This window comes from Homo sapiens, chromosome 5 (genome assembly GCF_000001405.40).
Source record: "Homo sapiens chromosome 5, GRCh38.p14 Primary Assembly".
Taxonomy (NCBI): domain Eukaryota; kingdom Metazoa; phylum Chordata; class Mammalia; order Primates; family Hominidae; genus Homo; species Homo sapiens.
The window spans coordinates 91,250,970-91,273,266 of NC_000005.10; the positions used below are offsets into that span (position 1 = coordinate 91,250,970).

Sequence of the window (22,297 nt, forward strand, 5' to 3'; positions counted from 1 at the left end):
TCTCTACTAAAAATACAAAAATTAGCTGGGCATGGTGGTCAGCACCCGTAATCCCAGCTACTGGTGAGGTTGAGGCGGGAGAATCGCTTGAACCTGGGAGGTGGAGGTTGTAGTGATGCAGTGAGTGGAGACTGCGCCACTGCACTCCAGCCTAGGAGACAGAGAAACAGAGTGAGACTCCTTTTCAAAAAAAAAAAAAAAAAAAGAGGAAAAAAATGTCTATAACATAATTTAAAAGTAATTTAAAAAAAAGTTACCAAATATGTCAAAAGGTTAAATGATGGGTACACGCATGTTTCTTATGTTATTCTCTGTACTTTTATTATACTTAATATATACTGTAATTTTTTTTTTGAGACAGGGTCTCACTCTATCACCTAGCCTAAAGTGCAAGGCATGATCATGGCTCACTGTAACTTCAAACTCCTTGGCTCAAGTGATCCTCCCACCACAGCTTCCCAAGTAGCTGGGACTACAGGTGCGCACCACCATGCTGGCTACTTTTTTTATTTTTAGTAGAGACAGGGTTTTACCATGTTGGCTAGGCTAATCTCGAACTCCTGACCTCAAGTGATCTGCCCGCCTCGGCCTCCCAAAGTGCTGGGATCACAGGCATGAGCCACCTCGCCGGGCCAAAAGATGCTTTTTTAAAGTTGCTTATGTCTTCAGAGAGATAAGATAGTACAGCCATAAAAGAATAGAAACCATAAATTCGTATCATCTTAATTTTGACTTATGTATAAATTTCTGCCCTTTGAGCACCCATACAAATTTTTTGAATTAGCCCTAAAATCATAATACTAGGCCATTATCCTCTAGGCCTTTTTTTTTTTTTTTTGGTAAAGACAGAGTCGTGTTATGTTGCCCAGGCTGGTCTCAAACTCCCGAGCTCAAGCAATTCTCCTGCCTCTGCCTCCCAAAGTGCTGGGATTACAGGTGTGAGCCACCATGCCCAGCCCCCTGGGCCATTTTAAACTTGAAAAATTGAATTATATAGAGTTTCTTCCACCAAAATGCATCATCTATAGAGGTCAACATCAATAAAATTTGAATGTTAAATCTGGAATACTTTGGTTATGACCCTGATTAAATCAGAAGAATGGACTAAATGAACTCTTATTCCCTTCTAGCCTGTACAGTTCTAACACCTTTTTGAGTTTGAGCTATAATATAGTTACAGATACTAACGTAAAATACATAATATTCTTCCAATCTTTTTTTGTTTGCTCAGACTCCTTCTGTCATTCTCAATCCTAAAGGCTGACATAAAACCTACACCATCCTCTGGCTAGAGTGGGACTCTGAAAAGCGAAAAGAGTAGCACATCCTCTTGGGTTAGAGATTGGTTTTCTTCCTGGAGCTATTGAGAAAAGTCTCCCTTTATCTGCTGAGGTTTCTAAACTGCTAGCGTGTAAGCTTGAAGTTGCTTCTTGCCTGCTTGCTAGGAATGCCTGCCTGAGAATGAAGTGGCTCAGAAGACAGGAGAGCAGATCAAAGGAAGGAGATCATTTCTTAATGACAGTATTTGAATTGTGAGTGAAAATAGGTCGATTCTTAAACTTTCAAATTTCACAAATGAAGAAACAAGACAAAGATTAACTTAGAGGAAAGCAAAAGATTATATCGGAAACAAAAAGAGAAATTATAAAATGCTACATGTCTCAGCTGTGAGCAGCTTTTATGTAGTCATAATAATGTAAATTGTGAATACTGGTTTAGCCAAAATTAAAACATAATTATACGAGGTGAATGGTAAGAAGAGAAGAATAGATACATAGGAAGAAAGTAATGAGTAAATAATGCTCATCCTAAAATAGGAAGTCAATAGATGATATGGTTTGGCTCTGTGTCCCCATCCAATCTCATTTCCAATTGTAATCCCCACGTGTTGAGGGAGGGAGGTGATTAGATCCTGGGGGCAGTTTCCCCCATGCTGTTCCAGTGATAGTGAGTGAATTCTCACAATATCTATGGTTTTTAAGTGTTTGGAAGTTCCTCCTCACTCTTCTCTTTCCTGCCAACTTGTGAAGAAGATGCCTGCTTTCCCTTCCACCATGATTGTGTTTCCTGAGGTCTCTCCAGCCATGTGGAACTGTGAGTCAATTGAAACTTTTCCTTTGTAAATCACCCAGTCTCAGGGGAGTTCTTTATAGCAATGTGAAAACGGACTAACACAATAGATGACATCTAAAGCTGAAAACTCACAAAGCAGCTATATAAGCATATTATTTAGAAGTTAAGACATGGCAGGTCATGGTGGCTCATGCCTGTAATCCGAACACTTTAGGGGGCTAAGGCAGGAGGATCACTTGAGCCCAAGAGGTCAAAAGTAGCCTGGGCAGCATAGTGAAATCTGTCTCTACAAAAAAAAAATTTTTTTTTAATTAGCCAGGTGTGGTGGTGCATGCCTGTAGTCCCAGCTACTTGGGAGGCTGAAGCAGAAGGATTTCTTGAGCCTGGGAGGTCAAGGCTGCAGTGAACCATGATTGCACCACTGCACTCCAGCCTGGGCAACAAAGTGAGACCCTGTCTCAAACAAGAAAAGAAAATATGACCAAAAAACTCTCTCCCAACCTCAAAAAAAAAAAAAATCCCACTGAGGCCAGACATGGTGACTTGTGCCTATAATCCCAGCACTTTGGGAGGACAGGGTGGGAGGATCATTTCAGCCCATAAGTTCAAGACCAGCCTGGACAACATAGTGAGACCCTGTCTCTATAAAAGCAATTTTTAAAATTCCACTGAAACAATTAGAATTACTGCTTGGGGCCCTTGGTAGTCCCCTTTTAATGTAGAAATTCATATCCTTCAGTTCCGACAAATGTTCTTGATTTACTTATTTGATTATTTTCTTCTATCCATTTTCTCTTATCTCCTTTTATGAATTTTTTTCTTCTTCTTAAAAAAAATCCTCAGATTCCTTTTACCATCTGAAATACCTGTTATGCAGATATTGAACTTCTTGCACTGGTCCTTTAGTCCTCTAAATCTTTTCTCTATGTAATTATCCTTCTCATTGTCTTTTCACTCTACCTTGTGAGAGATGTCCTCAATTTATATAATTATCTTTCTCTCTCTCTCTTTTTTTTTTTTTTTGAGACAAAGTTTCACTCTGTTACCCAAGCTGGAGTGTAGTGGCACAAGCATAGCTTAGTAATCTTGACCTCCCAGGCTCAGGTGATCCTCTCACCTTAGCCTCCCGAGTAGCTGGGATTGCACACACATGTGCTACCATGCCCAGCTGATTTTTGTATTTTTTTTTTTTTGTAGAGATGGGGTTTTACCATGTTGGCCAGGCTGGTCTCGAACTCCTGGCCTCAAGTGATCCACCCTCCTCGGCCTCCCGAAGTGCTGGAATTACAAGCGTGAGCCACTACGCCCGACCTTCAACTCTTCTATTGGGTATTTTTTTAATATATATTCTCGTGATTTGAATATTAAGGATGTCTTTCTTACTCTTTTTAGAGACAGATAAATAGATGATAGAGAGAGAGATAGATGATGATAGATAGATAGATAGATAGATGATAGATCATCAAACTGTTCACTTTTATGGATACAGCATTCTCTCTTCTCCATCAGAGATATGAAAGTATTTCCCTTTTCTCCTCCTGCCTGTATCCATGCCTTCAATGTTGTTTTAATCTACTTGTTGCCCTCTCTGTCTTTCACATAAGTGGATCCTCTCAGATGTTGAATGACCTTGGATTCCCTAAGAGCAGGTGACTAGAAAGCGAATAGAGAGCTCTGAGCATCTTCTGGATGCACTACATTTAGATGGTCCTTTGCTCTTGGTGGGTGATATGCGTGGCCCATTTCTTTGAAGGAACTCTGATATCAGGATCTTTAGGTCTTCTTGGCTCATCAGGTTCCCCAGAGATGACTTTTCCACTCTTCAGCCTAGAGAGAGTAGAAGCTGGAAGCAAACATTCTGGGAACTAAGGATAGGAAGACAAGCTGACTGCTCTTAGAATATATGTTAAAAATCACTTAATTCCACTGTTCTTTGCAGAGTAGCCCCTAGCTTCGATGTTGCCTAGTGTCTTCCATTTCCAATACCCTCTTTTGAATAAACCTGCAATATTTTGTCCTTGTTGGGCCTACACTTGATCTACTATACAGAGTAGAGGAGGAGCTCTGGGGTGAGAGGTGTCCAACTGCATCTTATAAACACTTTCAGCACAATCTCCTATTTATAGGCTCACGCCTGTAATCCCAGCACTTTGGGAGGCCAAGGTGGGTGGATCACCTGAGGACAGGAGTTCAAGACCAGCCTGGCCAATACGGCGAAACACTGTCTCTACTAAAAATACAAAAATCAGCTGGGCGTGTGGCAGGTGCCTGTAATCCTAGCTACTCAGGAGGCTGAAGCAGGAGAATTGCTTGAACTCAGGAGGCGGAGGTTGCAGTGAGCCAAGATGGTGTCACTGCACTCCAGCCTGGGCGACAAGAGCAAAACTCTGTCTCAGAAAAAAAAAAAAAAAAAAAAAAAAAAAAAAAAGAGTTATCTCTGCTAGGTTATAAGTATCTGGACATCAAAAATAGGTTAATATTTATATTCATGTATTTCTTTCCGTGTCTAATACAGTGAATTGTACCTTGACCTTGCACAATAAATGATTGTGCAATTGATATTTCAGCATAATTACCATAAGGCAAGACTAGATAAAAAAAATCTAGTAGGTTGATAAGCTTTTAACTAATTTTTACCAAAAATTTGGCACAATAACAATAATTATTATTTTTTCCTTCTAATGAATACCACAAATAAGTGTTTTGCGCTGTGTAGGAAAAAAGAAAGATGATCGGGCAGAATGCCTAACAAGGTTGAATAATTAGTCAAATTTTATTTTTGAGCATTTTTCCTAAAATTCAATTGCATGGTTTAAATGCTTGCTCTTTGCTGCTTTGGAAATCTGTTGATAAATGACATTGCAGTCCTTGATATGCACTTGCACAGGCATTCATGTGTTTCTTGCCAGTGCCAGGAGGCAGAACCAATATTATTTTTCCTTTCTGAGGGTGAAGGAGTTCACAAAGATCACCTGACTAGTCAAGGCCTTTTCTACACTGAGATCTTTCTAACAGGTCATTGAATCATCACCAACTGAAGAAAATAAGGACTGTTTGCACTATATATTTTCACTATCATTCATTTGCTTCTTGGTACCCTCCAAAAGAGATGAGCGATTTTTTTTCTCTTTCTTTAGGGGGGCAGGGTGGGGGTGGGGTCTCACTCTGTTGCCCAGGCTGAAGCGTAGTGGCACAATCGTGGCCCACTGCAGCCTTAACCTCTCGGGCTCAAGCAATCCTCCCACCTCGGCTTCCCATGTAGCTGGGACTACAGGTGCATGCCACCAAGCCCAGCTAGTTTTTTAATTCTTTTGTGGAGACAGGGTCTTGCTATATTGTCCAGGCTGGTCTTGAACTCCTGGGTTCAATTGATCCTCCGACTTCAGCCTTCCAAAGTGTTGGGATTATAGGTGTCAGCCACGGTGCCTGATGAGTTGAGTGATTCTGACAAAATTTGGTTCTTTAAATAAAGGTATCAAGAAGCATCTAAAGCTTGTATTGGCCACCCTGAAATGAAACAGTCAGGAAGAACTAGATTATAAATTCTTTGAAGGCAAAAAACTCTTAATTTTCTCTCTCATATCTCATCACCCTATACCACTGGTGGACATAAAATAGATGTTCAGGCCAGGCGTGGTGGCTCACGCCTGTAATCCCAGCACTTTGGGAGGCCGAGGCAGGAGAATCACGAGGTCAGGGGTTCAAGACCAGCCTGGAAAGCATAGTGAAGCCCCATTTCTACTAAAATCACAAAAAATTAGCCAGGCCTGGTGGCAGGTGCTTGTAATCCCAGCTACTTGGGAGTCTGAGGCAGGAGAATCGCTTGAACCCAGGAGGCAAAGGTTGCAGTGAGCTGAGATCACACCACTGCACTCCAGCCCGGGCTCCACCCCCTCAGCCTCCCAAAGTGCTGAGATTACAGGTGTGAGCCACTGCGCCTGGCCTAACTCTAGTGCAAGACTCCATCTCAAAAAAAAAAAAAAAAACATGTTCAATACCATTGTTGTTTGAACAGGTAACAGAAGTTTCCAAATGGGATTATTCTCTCCAATTTGAAATGATTTTATTGAAATTTGCTATCTGGTTAATGCTAACTACTGTTATTCCACTGAGTATAATCTTTAGTTCACATTTCTGCTGGCTAATAGGCTTCCCAAAGCCATTTACTAACATGAACATGATACTGCAACCAGCCGTAAAATCTGGAAGAGTAACTAAGAAACCTTCCTTCCCTTATTAGTTTATTGATTGGTTTATTTATTCTGATGTTCCAGAATTATATGAATCTAGACTATGCTTCTTTTGAAAGCCTGGATTTTATGTGGAAAAGGTGATCTTTTCCAGTAACATTTTATTCCACTTTCAACTTATACCATATAAAATGTGCATTTGGAATCTCTCCAACAGCAAATACAGATGTAGTTTAATCCACCCTGACTAAAGAACAGTCCAGAAACAAAAATATTCTGGGGCTCACTGATCTGTAAACACAAAATTAATGAATCATGTTCTGGTACTCATTCTGCTACTCATGTGATTTAGCCTATTACACATTTAAATATTCATACCTTTGTCTGTAAAATAGAAATAGAATTGCTTATTACCTTCTGAATAGTTTTAAGGAAAAACCAATAATATAGATTTTAATACTAAAATATATGTGTGTATAGATGTCATGACATCTATTTATTAAATATTAAATAATATATGGCACATGACTGGGCACCATGAAGGTTAAAATCACAGCTTTAGAAAGAAAAAACTCACCTTTAATTTCCAAAATTTGGTTAAAAGCTTTCTTTACAAAGTTATGTAGTTATGTAGTCTTAAGTATTTAATAAAATATATTTATATCAAGTAAACGATAAGAGTCTTGCTAGCCATCTTAGTTTGGTAAACAATGCTCCCAGAATTATTGAAAAATCGAATTGTCATTAACCTTTGCAAATACACACAGTTGTAGTCTTTAAGAGTGACAAATTACGATTATGGCCTAATTACTGAGGCTTACTCTGGACAAATGCAAAATATTTACCATGTAATATAAGAATCCATACAACCCAATTGCTTCAGTACAGATAAATTCTATGGCCACCTCATGCCTAAACTTTTTTTTTTTTTATTTTAGAGGAAATAATATAATTGTCATTTTATGTGCTCAACATCATAGAAGTAAAAATTAGTCTCCAAACAAGCTTTGTTCAAATGTGTTTGCAAATGTTCTTTCTGTGTGCATTTCTAAACACCCCCCACCAAAGAAACCCCCCACCAAAGAAATATTTAAACAGATTTTGCCATTGCAGAGTAAGCAGTAAGGAAATCTACACAATTATAGATGTTTCGATGGCCAGGCATGGTGGCACATGCCTGTAATCCCAGCACTTTTGGAGGCCAAGCCAGGCAGATCACCTGAGGTCAATACCAGCCTGGCCAACATGGTGAGACCTCATCTCTACTAAAACTACAAAAAATTAGTCAGGCATGGTGGCACATGCCTGTAGTCCCAGCTACTCAGGAGGTTGAGGCAGGAGACTCACTTGAGCCCGGGAGGTGGAGGGTGCAGTGAGCCAAGGTCACACCACTGCACTCCAGCCTGGGCATCAGAGCAAGACTCCATCTCAAAAAAAAAAAAAAAAACTATAGATATTTCAAAATACTTAGGGTAACTGATATAGAACATAAAGACTTAGAAATTGGTTCTTCCAAGCTCTTTGTACTTCAGTGAGCTATCCTTTGGTGGACACTTCTAAATTTAACATTGTGTAGGATCTTCTTATACCATCTATTGCTGTTTCAAAATGCTTGTCATGCGTATGGTATCAAATATTTGATACCTTTAATTAAAAATAGGCTAAAAAGGCAGGCAACCTTGAGCGTGAGTCAGCAATTGATCAAAGAGTATCTCTGCTCTAGAATTAGAATCCATATACCCTGATCCTAGTGCTTGATTAATTGGATTTGACCAAAGGGGCCATATATTTATTGTGACTTTATAACTCATGGAATGGTAGGACTAATAGTTGTTCATCTCATACTTCACAGGATTGTCATGATTCTCATTTTACTTTTAGTTATTTTTCAAACTTGAGTAAAGTATTTTTATATGCACAGAATTCTAAAGTATTCACAAATTGCATACACTCTGTGTATTATCCGTTTTCATAACACTGAATGTGCTTCAGGTTGACACACTGAGCAACTTAGTTTGAAGACATTTTGGGTGATTAAAATAATTTGGATTTGCCAGTGACCATGAGTTTTTTCCACTGCTTTTCTTCTTTAAATAGACTTTTTTTTTCCTGCACTTAGAGGAAGTGTGAGTTCAGAAATTAGATTGACCTGAGTTTGGCTCCTCTTTCAAAAGATAGTTCCAATTCATTGGGAATATTGTCAACTCTTTTTCAAAAGATAGTTCCAATTCATTGGGAATATTGTCAACTCTACACACAGAATAAGTCCAGAATCCAAATTCTTCTCTCCAGCTTCACTGGCTGCAATGCTGGTCCAATCTCCTACTTGAACAATTTTAATAATCTCCTAGCTGGTCTGTGTGCTTCCACTCTTGCCCCCATAGTTTATTTCCCATACCAGAGTGATCCTTCTAAAATATAGGACATAATATGCCTCTCTAATGCTCAAAAGCCTCCAGTGATTTCCTGCTTCATTCATTTCATCCATTCAAAAGTTCATTGGCCTACAAAGCCCTGCATGAGCTGGGCCCACCTACTTATCTCACTTCGTCCCCTACCATTTCCCCATCTCGCATTCCACAGCAGCCCCACTGGCTGCCTTCATATTCCTCAAACACACCAACGAATGCACTTTTGCATGTGCTGTCCTCTTTGCCTTCTGAATGCTGTTCCCCCAGGTATTTTCATGGCATCCTTCTTTACTTCTTCCAGATCTTGGCTCAAACGTCTCTTTAAGAAGACTTTTCTGATCATCCTCTATATCTAGTAACATATCACCTCCTTGCCTTTTTTATTTTTCTCTGTAGCACTTATTCCCAAGGAAAGCATCATATATTTATGTGTTTATTAGTTTGTAAATTGACTTTCTGCATTAGAATGTAAATTCCATAAGGCCAAGGACTTTATGTTGTTTATTTTTGTATACCCGACACCAACAATAATGTCTGTCTGGCATGTAACAAGTGCTTAAAAAATACTTGGTGAAGGAATGTACATAACTTGTTAATTGCTTGACACTGGGCAAATTGAAAATTATTTTTTTCTTATCTCTACAATAGGGCTAATAATATTTCACAGTTATTGAGATGATAACTAAAATGAAATATGTAAAATCTCTATAGCATAATGTTTGCCATATTATAGTTTTTAATACATAATTATTTCCTTTCAATTCACTATGATTTATTCTGCAATACAAACTTTGAGAATGGCTACTTAATTTATAGAAAAATGTATGATAAGGAATTTCACCAAAACCTCATAAAGGTGGGCCAACAGCTAATCATCTTTCAAGACTCAGCTCTCAAGTATTACACTTTCCTTTTATTTGTTGGTTTATTTAACCTACTTTTGTTTTTTTTATTGACGGGGTTCTCACTATGTTGCCCAGGCTGGACCTGAACTCTTGGGCTCAAGTGATCCTCTCCTCTCAGCCTCCTGAGTACTGGATTGCTAATTCTGTAAAGACTTTGTCTGACCTCTCTGAGAGTCTTGACCCTTATATTCACTGTGATCCATGGTACCCTCTAACCACTTCTGGCATAACAACAATAATTCATTATACATACTCCATTGTTTATCATTTTCCCACATTAGACAAGTCCTTAATGCCAAGTTTTATTTACCTTTGTATTCAAGTCAAGCAAATATTTACCTTTGTATTCAAGTCAAGCAAATATTAAATAAATGTATGTGCAATAAAATTGGGCATTTGAGGCACATACAAATAAAAATATCATTCCCAATCCCTATAGAGAGAATGGCCTGACCAATCTGTGGAGAGAACACATATAAGAAACAATTGCAATATATGATTGTAAAGCCAAAGGCTAAAAATCAAGGGTTAAGTTTCTACTAATGGCATTATAAAGTGGTCAGGTGAACTTTTATGCAGATAACAATGATAAAAACTGGACAAAACATTTATTTAAAACAATGATTTGAAGACTCTGGAGAAAACCAGAAGTTGCAAACAGTTTATTGTTGAAAGACTGTAACAGCAGCAGGTAAGAATTGCAATTTGAGGGTTTTTTTTTTTTTTTTTTTTTTTTTTTGCCTGAGGAGAGTTTGCAATGCCCAAAGCTCCTGGGACAGAAAACTGCAGTATTGCTGGTGGACAAAGACAGAGTACACAGCTTTCAGAGTAGCTGGAACTTTAGGAGGAAATATTAGAAGCAAGAAAACCACAGAAGGGATAAGGCCCAAATTCTGAGTATAAACTCTACCCAAATCCCTAGCTGACTGCTAAATTATGGATAAGTAGAAAAGACCACGTGGGAATAGCAAAAGATAGGTAGAAAAGAGAGAATAATGTATCTGCACATTGTATCAGAACTATCTCAGGCAAGATTTGTGACTTCATTGGTCTTTTGACAGAGTATATTCCCAACCTGAATGCAGCTGAGGCAGCAGAAAGCTGAAGGCTTAATGGCCTGAGGTGCCAGAGGAATAGGTGGAAATTTGTGGAGAGTGAGAAGGGGTAGCTCTGAAATTAAGGGAACTACAGAGAGTGCAAGCTCCAAATTGGATTTTAAAAAGTTCCCCAATCCTTGGCTAACAACTAAACTACATAGATCATAACTGGAATCTATAGGTAGGAAGGAAGAATGCTGGAAATGGTAACTGTGTGGGTAAATAGATATGTAGTATATTGTACACACATATATTTCCTCACTTTATTTAAAAGATACATAACTGCTGAAAGCAAATATTGTAGCACTTTGTTACTAATATGAAGAAGAAAGCAGGAGTGACACTACAGATCCTACAAACATTAAAATGGGAATATTTAAACGTAAAATAAGGGAATTTTTTTTTTTTTTTTGAGATGGAGTCTTGCTCTGTCACCCAGGCTGGAGTGCAGTGGCACTATCTCGGCTCACTGCAAGCTCCGCCTCCCAGGTTCATGCCATTCACCTGCCTCAGCCTCCCGAGTAGCTGGGACTATAGGTGACTGCTACCACGCCCAGCTAATTTTTTGTATTTTTTAGTAGAGATGGGGTTTCACTGTGTTAGCCAGGATGGTCTCGATCCTGGCTAACACAGTGAAACCCAGTCTCTACTAAAAATATTTAAACATCCTTATGCCAATAAATTCAATGGTTAGATAAACAAATTCCTTGAGAGACCCAAATTACTAATTTTGTTAATAGAAAATAGAAAATATGAATAGTCAAATTAAATTCAAATTAAAAACTTTCACACACATATACACACACAACTCCAGGTCTAGATAGCTTTACTAGTGAACTGTATTAGACAATCAATAAAAGAGTAATACCAATTCCACAGAAACTGCATAAGAAAAACAGAAAGAGTGAACCATTTTTGACTTATTTTACAAGACCACCGTTATATCAGTACCAAAACCAGTTAAAGACATCATGAGAAAGAAAACTATAGATTAATCTCTCCTGAACATAGACAAAAGGAAAAAAATCATTAAACTATTAGAAAATCAATCCTGCAATATATAAAGAGGATTAATATGTCATGACTATGACCATGTATTTGTAATTGCGGGATTTCAAACTTGATTTGACATTCAAAATCAGTTGATATGGCCAGGCACGGTGGCTCATGTTTGTAATCCCAGCACTTTGGGAGGCCAAGGTGGGTGGATCACCTGAGGTCAGGAGTTTGAGACCAGCCTGGTCAACATGGTGAAACCCTGTCTCTATTAAAAATACAAAAATTAGCCGGGTGTGGTGGCACGCGCCTATAATCCCAGTTACTTGGGAGGCTAGGGCAGGAGAATCACTCTAACCTGGGAGGCAGAGGTTGAAGTGAGCCAAGATTATGCCATTGCACTCCAGCCTGGGCAACAAAGCGAGACTCTCTCAAAAAAAAAAAAAAAAAAACAATCAGTTGATGTAATTCACCATATTAATAGAATAAAGAAGAAAAAATATATAATCATTTTAATAGACACAGAAAAGGTATTTGGCAAATTTCAACACCCTTTCATGGTAAAACTCTCAACAAATAGGATGGAAAAGAGAATCCTCAATCTGATAAAGGACACCCGTGGAAAACCTAGAGCTAACATCACACATCATATTGAAATATTGAGTATTTCCCCTCCAAAGACAAAGGGATGGTCTGCATTTATCACATATATTCAACAAAGTACCGGAAATCCTAGTCATTACAATAAGGCAAGAAAAAAAATACAAAGCAAGATTGGAAAGGAGGAAGTAAAACTGTATTTACCCATCAACATGATTGTGCATATAGAAAAGTTTAAGGAATCCCAAATAAACTACTGAGACAAATAAGTGAATTTAGCAAAATTATAGAAAATAAGGTCAATATTAAAGAATCAATTGTATTTCTAGATACTAGCCAAGATCCCTTGGATATGAAATTAAAGAAACAATTACATTCACAACAGCACCAAAAAATATGAAATAGGGATAAATTAAACTGTTCAATGTCCTTAGTCTTGTCCTTAGTCTTCAGGAAACTGCAAGTTAAAATCACAATGATATACCTCTGCAAACCCACTAAAATGACTAAAATTATATACTTAATCATACAACCCAGCCATTTTCTCCTAGATATTTGCCCAAGAGAAATGAATACTACATAAAGATTTACATACAAATGTCCATAGCAGCTTTACTCAAAATAGCCCTAAAGTGGATACAATCCGAATGTTCATCAGCAAAAAAATGGATAAACTAATTGTGGTGTATTCATAAAATGAAATAAAACTCAGTTGGGGAAAAACAGAAAACACAAGTTACACATGCATGCAACAACATCGATGAATCTCAAAAAGTTTATGCTAAGTAAGAAAGCCAGGCCAAAAAGAGTACACACTGTTTACAGAATAATCTGAAAAAGGCAAAAGCAATCTATCATGTTAGAAAGCAGATCAGTTGCTTGCGACTCAGGTTGGAGGCAGAACTGACTGAAAAGAGGTATTAGGGAGGCCTGTGGGTGACGGGGAGAATGCTCCATATCTTATAGTAGTGGTTTACTCAAGCATATACGTTCATCAAGATTGTATGCTTAGAATGGGTGCATTTTATCGTATGTAAATTATAACTCACTGTAGTTCTTTAAAGGTAGCTTCATAAGAAAAAGAACTAATCCATGGCTGACAATAGTATTTTTCATTACAGAGCTTAGAAAAGAGGGGCTCTTAGGGGTACATCATTGAAAAACTTTTTTTTTTCAACTACAAACCCAATTCCACTGTGTGTTACAAATTAACATGGCTGATAAAAGCATTCTGGTTAGCCTGATAAGAAAGATAAATAAATCACACTGAAATCAAACCACTAGGATTCTTGTTAGGCTCAAGAGCTGGTAAAGAAGCCCTGTCCCTCAGGAATATAGTGGTGCTGGAGATGCAACCACCACAGAAAATAAAACCCAAAGGGCTGGGGAAGAGGTGAAAAGAGGATAGTGTGAATACCAACCTGGATCCTTTGCTGGGAACTCTTGTTATCTTGTTCTGTATTTATCCAGTGCTGTATTTAGAAAAGATTAAATCAAAACTGTGAAATTAAAACATGATGAGTGACAGTTCTGAGAGACAACAGCTGTGGCACTAGATTTTCATCATGTCAGGCCTGAGATCTGTATTTCAGGTCACTTTTTTCCATTGGCACTGATCCTGAAGGACAAAAATTATCTTTCTATTGGCTCTTTTCTAAACCACCTGTTGCCTCCATGAGGTAGAAGATTAATAGAGTTTAAATGGGAAGTGAGCCATTTCAAAGGTCTGGGTTGAATGGGGTCTTCATAGAGCACTCACCTCAGGAGTTTAGGCAAAATATTATCTGGTGTCACCAGCAATAATAATTTCCATGTGTTGTATTCCCCTTCTAGGTAGAGAAAACTTTTGAATCACAATACACATTTCAAATGCAAACCCACAATTAGAGAGTTGAACAAATATCTATTGTTTTCTAAGGTATATGAAAAAATATATCTTTTGAAACAGTTATTCCTAATCATTGTCAAATAAATCCCAAGTAACTAATTTAAGGCATTATGAGAATGTACCTTTCTTCCTTCTTTTTTTTGAGATGAAGTCTCGCTCTGTCACCCAGGCTGGAGTGCAATGGCGCGATATCGGCCATTCTATGGGTGTATTTTATTGTATTCACTGCAACCTCCGCCTCCTGGGTTCAAGCGATTTTCCTGCCTCAGCCTCCTGAGTAGCTGGGATTACAGGCGCCCGCCACCACGCCCGGCTTTTTTTGTATTTTTAGTAGAGACGAGGTTTCACCTTGTTGGCCAGGCTGGTCTTGAACTCCTGACCTCGTGATCCACCCACGTTGGCCTCCCAAAGTGCTGGGATTACAGGCATGAGCCACCACACCTGGCCCCTTTTTTCCTTCTTAATAAATGCCTAGGCCAGGGGTGGTGGCTCATGCCTGTAATCCCAGCACTTGGGGAGGCCCAGGCATGTGGATCACTTGAGGTCAGAAGTTGGAGACCAGCCTGGCCAACATGGTGAAACCCCATCTCTACTGAAAATACAAAAATTAGCCAGGCATGGTGGCGCACACCTATAATCCCAGCTACTCAGGAGGCCGAAGCATGATAATCACTTGAACCCGGAAAGCGGAGGTTGCAGTGAGCCGAGATGGTGCCACTGCATTCCGGCCTGGGCAGCAGAATGAGACTCCATCTCAAGAAAAAAAAAATGTGTAATTTCAAAAGTCATGAAACTACCCTTGTCTGTAAAATAAGGTCTTGATAAATGGTTAAATATCAATATTTGGATAAGCTGATTCTGGCATATCTGTATGATGGAATACTATCAGCAATAAAAAGGAACAGACTACTGATGTACTCAGGAAAACTGATAAATCTCAAATTCATTACGCTAAATGAAAAAAAAAAGCCTACATACTCTCTGATAACAGTTACATGGAATTCTGGAAGAGGCAAAATTATACAGAAAAAAAAAACAGATGAGTGATTTCCAGGGGCTGCAGGGCAGGGGTGTGTTTGACTTCAAAAGGATACGAGGTTGGAGGGAGGTAGGAGGGACTTTGAGGAGTGAAGGAACTACTTGGTATTTTGATTGTGGTGGTGGTTACATGACTGTATGCGTTTGTCAAAGCTTACAAAACTATGCACTAAAATGCATAAAAATTACTGTACCTAAATCATACTTTATCTTTTTCAAAATAATATTTCAAAGAACTATTTTTTAAAAAATGTGTTTTAATTTGAAGGAGGTATTTATGGTCATCACAGGTACTGCAGATCTGGAAATCCTCATTACACTCTAAATGTGCAAAATGAGTCATCAGGCTGTTCTATTAATAGAAAGTGAACTGCATGAACCACAATATTTTAGTAAGGATATAAGCCTTATGAAGAGTTGTAGATACCATTGTTGCGGGGAGTTTGCTTTGTTTTGTTTTGTTTTGTTTTGTTTTCACCTGTGTTTAGATGTAGTGAGTAAGAATGAGATGTATTGTATATTTGAAATTTGCTCTTTTACATTTAAGGAATTAGGACATTGGATTGAAAGAAAACTAGGAATTTTTCACCAGTAGATTGCTACATTTAGTTTTGGAATGCTCTATATGTGTCTTTTAATTATCTTCATAAATTGTTAAAAGTGGATAGATTGTTTAGCTTGTGCCTATAAATCCTAGCTTTACAACCTGAAAATGTATTTACACACCTATTTCTTCATCTTTTTCTCTGATAAAGCTCTAATAAGTTTATCAGAGAAATTCTATTGAAGAGCCATGAATTTTCCAACTGAAAGTTTCTGCTAAATGATGAGCAGAATAAATGGAATACCCATAAGTAAAAACAATACCCTAAAATTACAGAAAGCTAGGAATAGCTAAACTAAAAATAAAGAATAGGCTGCTCTGCCTGTAGAGTAGCCATTCTTTTATTCCTTTACTTTCCTAATAAACTTGCTTTCACTTAAAACAAAAATAGAATAAAGAAGTATGGGTGCAGTGGCTCATGCCTGTAATCTCAACATTTTGGGAGGCCAGGATAGGAGGATCATTTGAGCCCAGGAGTTCAAGACCAGATTAGGCAGCACAGCAAGACCCCCTCTTTGAAAAAAAAAAAAAAGAAGAAGAATAAAGAGAAGAAATTCAAAGGTTAGAGTGGAAAAAATAATAAAAATTCAGGCTTTCACCTGACTTCTCATCTGCAATACTGTTAAGACAATGAAGCAATGCTGTTGGTTTTTGAAGGAAAATGATTTCAATCAAGAGTTCTAGACAGCTTAAATATCAATGAAATGGGCCAGGTGTGGTGGATCATGCCTGTTAATCCCAGCACTTTGGGAGGCTGAGGCTGGTGGATTACCTAAGGTCAGGAGTTCGAGACCAGCCTGACAGACATGGAGAAACTCCGTCTCTACTAAAAATACAAAATTAACCAGGCGTGGTGGCACATGCCTGTAATCCCAGCTACTCGGGAGGCAGAGGCAGGAGAATCGCTTGAACCCAGGAGGCGGAGGTTGTGGTGAGCCAACATTGCGCCATTGCACTCCAGTCTGGGCAACAAGAGCAAAACTCTGTCTCAAAATAAATAAATAATAAATAAATATAAAGAAATAAATAAAGTCAATTAAATGTAAAAACAAAAAAAATTTAGATACGCAAGAATTAGTAAGTTTATCTTTCAGGCATTTTCTCTTTAAAGATACTTGAGAGTAGAGGGAATAAGTCAAGGAATGAAGATATGGGATCTACAAGACAGTGGCTCCAACCTAATATTGCAATGTACAGAAGTCTCAAAGTAATAGCTGTTCAACAGGGCTAGAAAGCAATCAGTTCAAAGAGGCCAGAGGTACACCAGAGGCTGGAGGTCTCCTAGAAAGAAAAGTTTCCATAGACCAAGTAGTACGTTTGAGAATTTTGGAAGAAATTATGGGCAATAATAAAAAATTTTTTTAATTAGAAACTCTAGGAAAAATAATAGATTTCAGAAAAGGACATGCAATTATACTTGTGATATAATATATACATATATTGATTTTAATCCACAGTTCCTGGCTCATAATTCCCATAGCTTTTGTTTTAATATTTTGTTATAATGTTGGGGCACTTAAGGCCTCAGAAGCAAGCCTCAGAAAACAGAACCTTTTTCTTTCATCTTCTCCTGCCCTTCTTTTTTTTTTTTTTTTTTTTTTTTGAGAAAGAGTCTCGCTGTATCATCCAGGCTGGAGTGCAGTGGCGCGATCTCTGCTCACCGCAACCTCTGCCTCCCAGGTTCAAGCGATTCTCCTGCCTCAGCCTCCCGAGTAGATGGGACTACAGGCATGCACCACCATGTCTGGCTAATTGTTTTGTATTTTTAATAGAGACAGGGTTTCACCATGTTGGCCAGGCTGGTCTCAAACTCCTGGGCTAAACTCCACTCGCTTGGCCTCCCAAAGTGCTGGGATTCCAGGCGTGAGCTACTGCTCCTGGCCTTCTCCTGCCCTTCTTTCACCTGTTCCTTTTTGTCACCAAGGAAGGACCCTAATCTTCCCCTGCTTTTCAGAAGAAGTCATGCCCCATATACCCTGGAGGAAAAAATGCTGCACAGAAAGGCCAAGAAAAATCTAAACAGACAGGCCTCGCTGAGTTTTCCCACTCAGCTCATTACCATGAGATCATGCTTTTGTGTCCAATCACATTTCTACATAGCTAGCAATCATGCCAGTCCAATGTAGTCTCCACCAAAGACCCAAGAGAGCAGGATTCACAGAGCTTCTGGATAGCTGAACACGTGGATGTTCTACAGGGTGGTGACCTCAGGGTGGGCATGGAAGCTCTGCTCCCATTCCCCCAGGCCTTACCCTATGCATCTCTTCATCTGTATCCTTTGTAATATCCCTCATAATAAACCAGTAAACAACATAAATGTTTCCCCAAGTTCTCTAAGCTGCTCTAGCAAGTAGCTAAACCCAGGAGGAGGTTGTGGGATCCCCAGTTTATAGCTGGCTGATCAGAAACACAGGTAGAACAAGCTGGGGCTTGTGACTGGCATCGGAAGTGGGGAAGAGGGGCAGTTTTGGGGACGTAGGCCTCAGCCTATGGGATCTGACACTATCTCCAGGTAGATAGTGTCAGAATTGAATTAGAGGACATGCAGCTGGTATCCACTGCAGAAATGATTGCTTGCTTGTTGTGTGGGGAAACCCCTCCCCCACACTCAGTCAGAAGTGTTGATTGTTGTGGCAGAGGAGAAACAGTTTGTGGTTTCTCCACACAATACTACATTATTTTCTCTGCCATGAAGAGTATTCATACAGTCTTTTTCTTTTCTTTCTTTCTTTTTTTTTTTTGAGACAGGATCCACTTTGTCTCCCACGCTGGAGTGCACTGGTGTGATCTCAGCTCACTGCAGCATCCACCTCCTGGGCTCAAACAATCCTCCCACCTCAGTCCCTAAAGTAGCCAGTTCTACAGGTGTGCTAATTTTTTGTAGAGCTGGGGTTTTGCCAGGTTGCCCGGGCTGGTCTCGAACTCCTGAGCTCAAGCAGTCCACCCATCTCGGCCTCCCAAAGTGCTAGGATTATAGGCGTGAGCCACCAAGCCCAGCCCATACAGTCTTTTTTTTTTTTTTTTTTTTTTTTTTTCCCTTTTTAGACAGAGTCTTGCTCTGTCACCCAGGCTGGAGTGCAGTAGCGCAATCTGGGCTCACTGCAACCTCTGCCTCCCAGGTTCAAACAATCCTCCCACCTCAGTTTCTCAAGTAGCTGGGATTACAAGTGTGCGTCACCATGCCCAGCTAATTTTTGCATTTTTTAGCAGAGATGGGATTTCATCATGTTGGCCAGGCTGGTCTTGAACCCCCGGCCTCAAGTGATCCGCCCACCTCGGCCTCCCAAAATGCTGGGATTACAGGCATAAGCCACTGCTCTCAGCCCAGTCTTAATAATGCAAATGGTAAGACTTTTTTTACTTTCATTGTCAACCTATAGACAAATCTCAAAACAGTTAATTATATAAATGTCATCAACCTCAATAAGGTCAAGGGACACACAGATGACAGAATTTAACAGGTACAAAGAGAAAAGACAGGTAAAGAGAAAGACAGGTGTGCATACCCTCTTCCAACGAAGTAGGTATTCACATTGTCATTGATTTTTTTTTTAATTGGTTGAGTCTTAAGTATTTTACTTAAAGTCATAGGTGGTATAAGAGAGCTCAATCCTCACCTATCGTATGCAGGAAACCAATGAATTTGGTTGAATGTAGTTGCAGGCACATAATATGCACTAAAAAATGTCATTTCCCTTACTTTGGTCAAAATCCATTAACGCATTCTGTGTAAGTGTGGAGTCCTTATCATGGCATTCATGATTCACTGTAATCTCAAAATCAGTTACCATTTTGGATTTACTTTCCTTATATGCCCCCTACACTCCAGTGAAATGAAACCGTATCCACCATGCAGCCATTGATGCAAGCATGTCAAGAGAGGGAGACTTACAAGAGTAAGCAGTAAGGATTCTGAGAAGCTGATATACCTTGGTCAAATTAAATTTTATCAGGAAGCTTTGAGCAGTGGCAGTATGGTAGCCAATGCAGTTTATCCAATGTGCAATTATTATTAATTGAAAACTGTTCCCAATACTTCACTGTAATGACTTGCGATATAGTCAGTATTGGCAATTTTTTGTTTGTTTGTTTAAGAAATGGTCTGACTCTGTCACCCAGGCTGGAGTGCAGTGGTATAGTCACAGCTCACCACAACCTCAACCTCCCAGGCTCAGGTGATCCTCCCACTTTAGCCTCCCAAGTAGCTGGGACTACAAACACCTAACACCATGCCCGAATAATTTTCATATTTTTTGTAGAGATAGGGTTTACCATGCGGCCCAAGCTGGTCTCGAAATCCTGGGCTCAAGCGATCCTCCCACTTTGGCCTCCCGAAGTGCTAGGATTACAGGTGTGAGCCACTGAGCCCAGACTCCAGCATTAGCAAATTTTGACCATCTCTACAGAGACTGAATAATAAATAAATAAATGCTAAATTTTATCAGGAGAACTCAAAGCACACACAATTAGTGTTAGTCAATATGAAAGCTTTAGGCTAATATTATTTCTTTGCTTGCAGAAAAAAGATCACATTTAGCCTGGCATAACAATGACTCTGTTTCTATTATGCCAATTAGACCCTTGGTAAACTCGCTCTAATGAGGAACCTTGGAGCACTTGTTATTAATCTTAATATCACAATTATCATGAAAACCATTTGGAGACAACATAAAGATTATTGGGGCCAGGTGCAGTAGCTCATGCCTGTAATCCCAGCATTTGAGGAGGCCTAGATGAGGGGATCGCTTGAGCCCAGGAGTTCAAGACCAGCCTGGGCAACATGGTAAGACCCCATCTCTACAAAAGAATAAGTAAATAGGCCAGGTGAAGTGGCTCACACCTGTAATTCCAGCACTTTGGGTAAGGCCAAGGCGGGTGGATCACCTGTGGTCAGGAGTTCGAGACCAGCCCAGCCAACATGGCAAAACCCTGTCTCTACTAAAAATACAAAAATTACCTGGGTGTGGTGGCACGCACCTGAAATCCCAGCTACTCAGGAGGCTGAGGTGGGAGAATCACTTGAACCCAGGAGGCGGAGGTTGCATTGAGCCAAGACTGAGCCACTGCACTCTAGCCTGGGAGACAGAACGAGACTCCATCTTAAATAAATAAATAAATAAATAAATAAATAAATAAATAAATAAAATTAGCTGGGCATGGTGGTGTGTGCCTGTGCTTCCAGCTATTTGGGAGGCTAAGGCAGGAGGATTGCTTGAGCCCAGGAGGTCAAGGCTGTGGTGAGCCATGTTTGTACCACTGCACTTCAGCCTGGGCAACAGAGCAAGACCCTGTCTCAAAAAAAAAAAAAAGGTTTAAAAGATTATTGGTGTCTTCAAGTAGCATAATAATAGAGATTTTCTCATTTTCACCCACTGGCAATTTGGGTAGTTAGAAAGGAAAAATGACTCAGCTTGAAATACAGGGCTAGCTGGATGCAGTGGTGCATGTCTGTAGTCCCAGCTACTAAGGAGGCTGAGGCAGGTGGCTAGCTTGAGTGCAGAAGTTCAAGGCTGTAATGTGCCATAATTGCACCTGTGAATAGCCACTGCACTCCAGCCTGGGCAACACAGTGAGACCCTCCATCTCTAAAATAAATAAATAAGTAAATAAAAATGTAAAAAATATATAGGACAATAATGGTAAAATCCATTGAAACAAACTGAAAAAAGCTTCATTATATTTCAAGAGTGCATATTTTATTTATCATGAATGCAGACTACTATTTCAGGTGTCTTAGTGGGTGAGCAGTATGTGTTCTCTCCATCAGTATCTTTGTTGCTTAGGTTTCTTTGTAAGCAATAGAAATCAACTGAGGCTAGCTCTGGGCCCATTAAAAATAATTTAAAGTAAGTTATAATTAACTAAAAATAACAATATACAAGTTAAACATTGACACCTAAATTTTTTTAATAAAATAACATTTGGAAAGATACTAGGTAGCATTTCAAACAAAAGAAATAACTAAACAATGGGGACTAGGTGGGCGGATCACCTGAGCTCAGGAGTTTGAGACCAGCCTGGCCAACATGGTGAAACCCCATCTCTTCTAAAAATACAAAACTTTACCAGGCATGGTGGTGGGCACCTGTAATCTCAGCTACTTGTGACGCTGAGGCAGGAGAATTGCTTGAACCCTGGAGGCAGAGGTTGTCACTCTACCCTGGGTGACAGAGTAAGACTCTGTCCCAAGAAAAAAAAAAGAAACAAAACAAACAAAAAACCAAGGGGGACTTGTGGAGGATAGCAACTAGGGTTGCTCTGGGATTCTCAGTGGTAAAACAAACAAAATATCTGGTTGGTGTCTCTGATCACTACCACTAAAATGACTCAGCTTCAACCACCTTCTTCATTTTTGAGACTATACTCCATATTCAGATGGCTAGGACAAAAATAGCCCTGTGTTTCAACCTTGGGGGAAGGGACGAGGGGAAGGCAAACACTGTGGCTGAGAGTTCTACACAGAAATGTTGGCCAGGATGACCTGAGGCTTCTCAA

The 22,297-nt window shown here is 39.4% G+C and overlaps 1 long non-coding RNA gene and 1 pseudogene across 1 annotated transcript in view, besides 1 other annotated feature; one reads left to right on the top strand and one right to left on the bottom strand.

The window, feature by feature from the left end:
* Window positions 1-14,304, bottom strand: part of LOC107986432 (uncharacterized) — a 113,452-nt gene extending 99,148 nt beyond the window's left edge. The window contains exon 1 of the long non-coding RNA XR_001742795.2: window positions 13,694-14,304. This is a non-coding gene — a long non-coding RNA (uncharacterized LOC107986432). The remainder of the gene's footprint in view (window positions 1-13,693) is intronic.
* Window positions 19,758-19,898, top strand: RNU4-90P (RNA, U4 small nuclear 90, pseudogene; annotated as a pseudogene).
* Window positions 21,986-22,115: an enhancer, noted in NCBI's record as "active region_22785". NCBI's record gives its function as "activates an Ori minimal core promoter by ATAC-STARR-seq in GM12878 lymphoblastoid cells {active_cell/tissue: GM12878}" and the evidence as "EXISTENCE:reporter gene assay evidence [ECO:0000049][PMID:35858748]".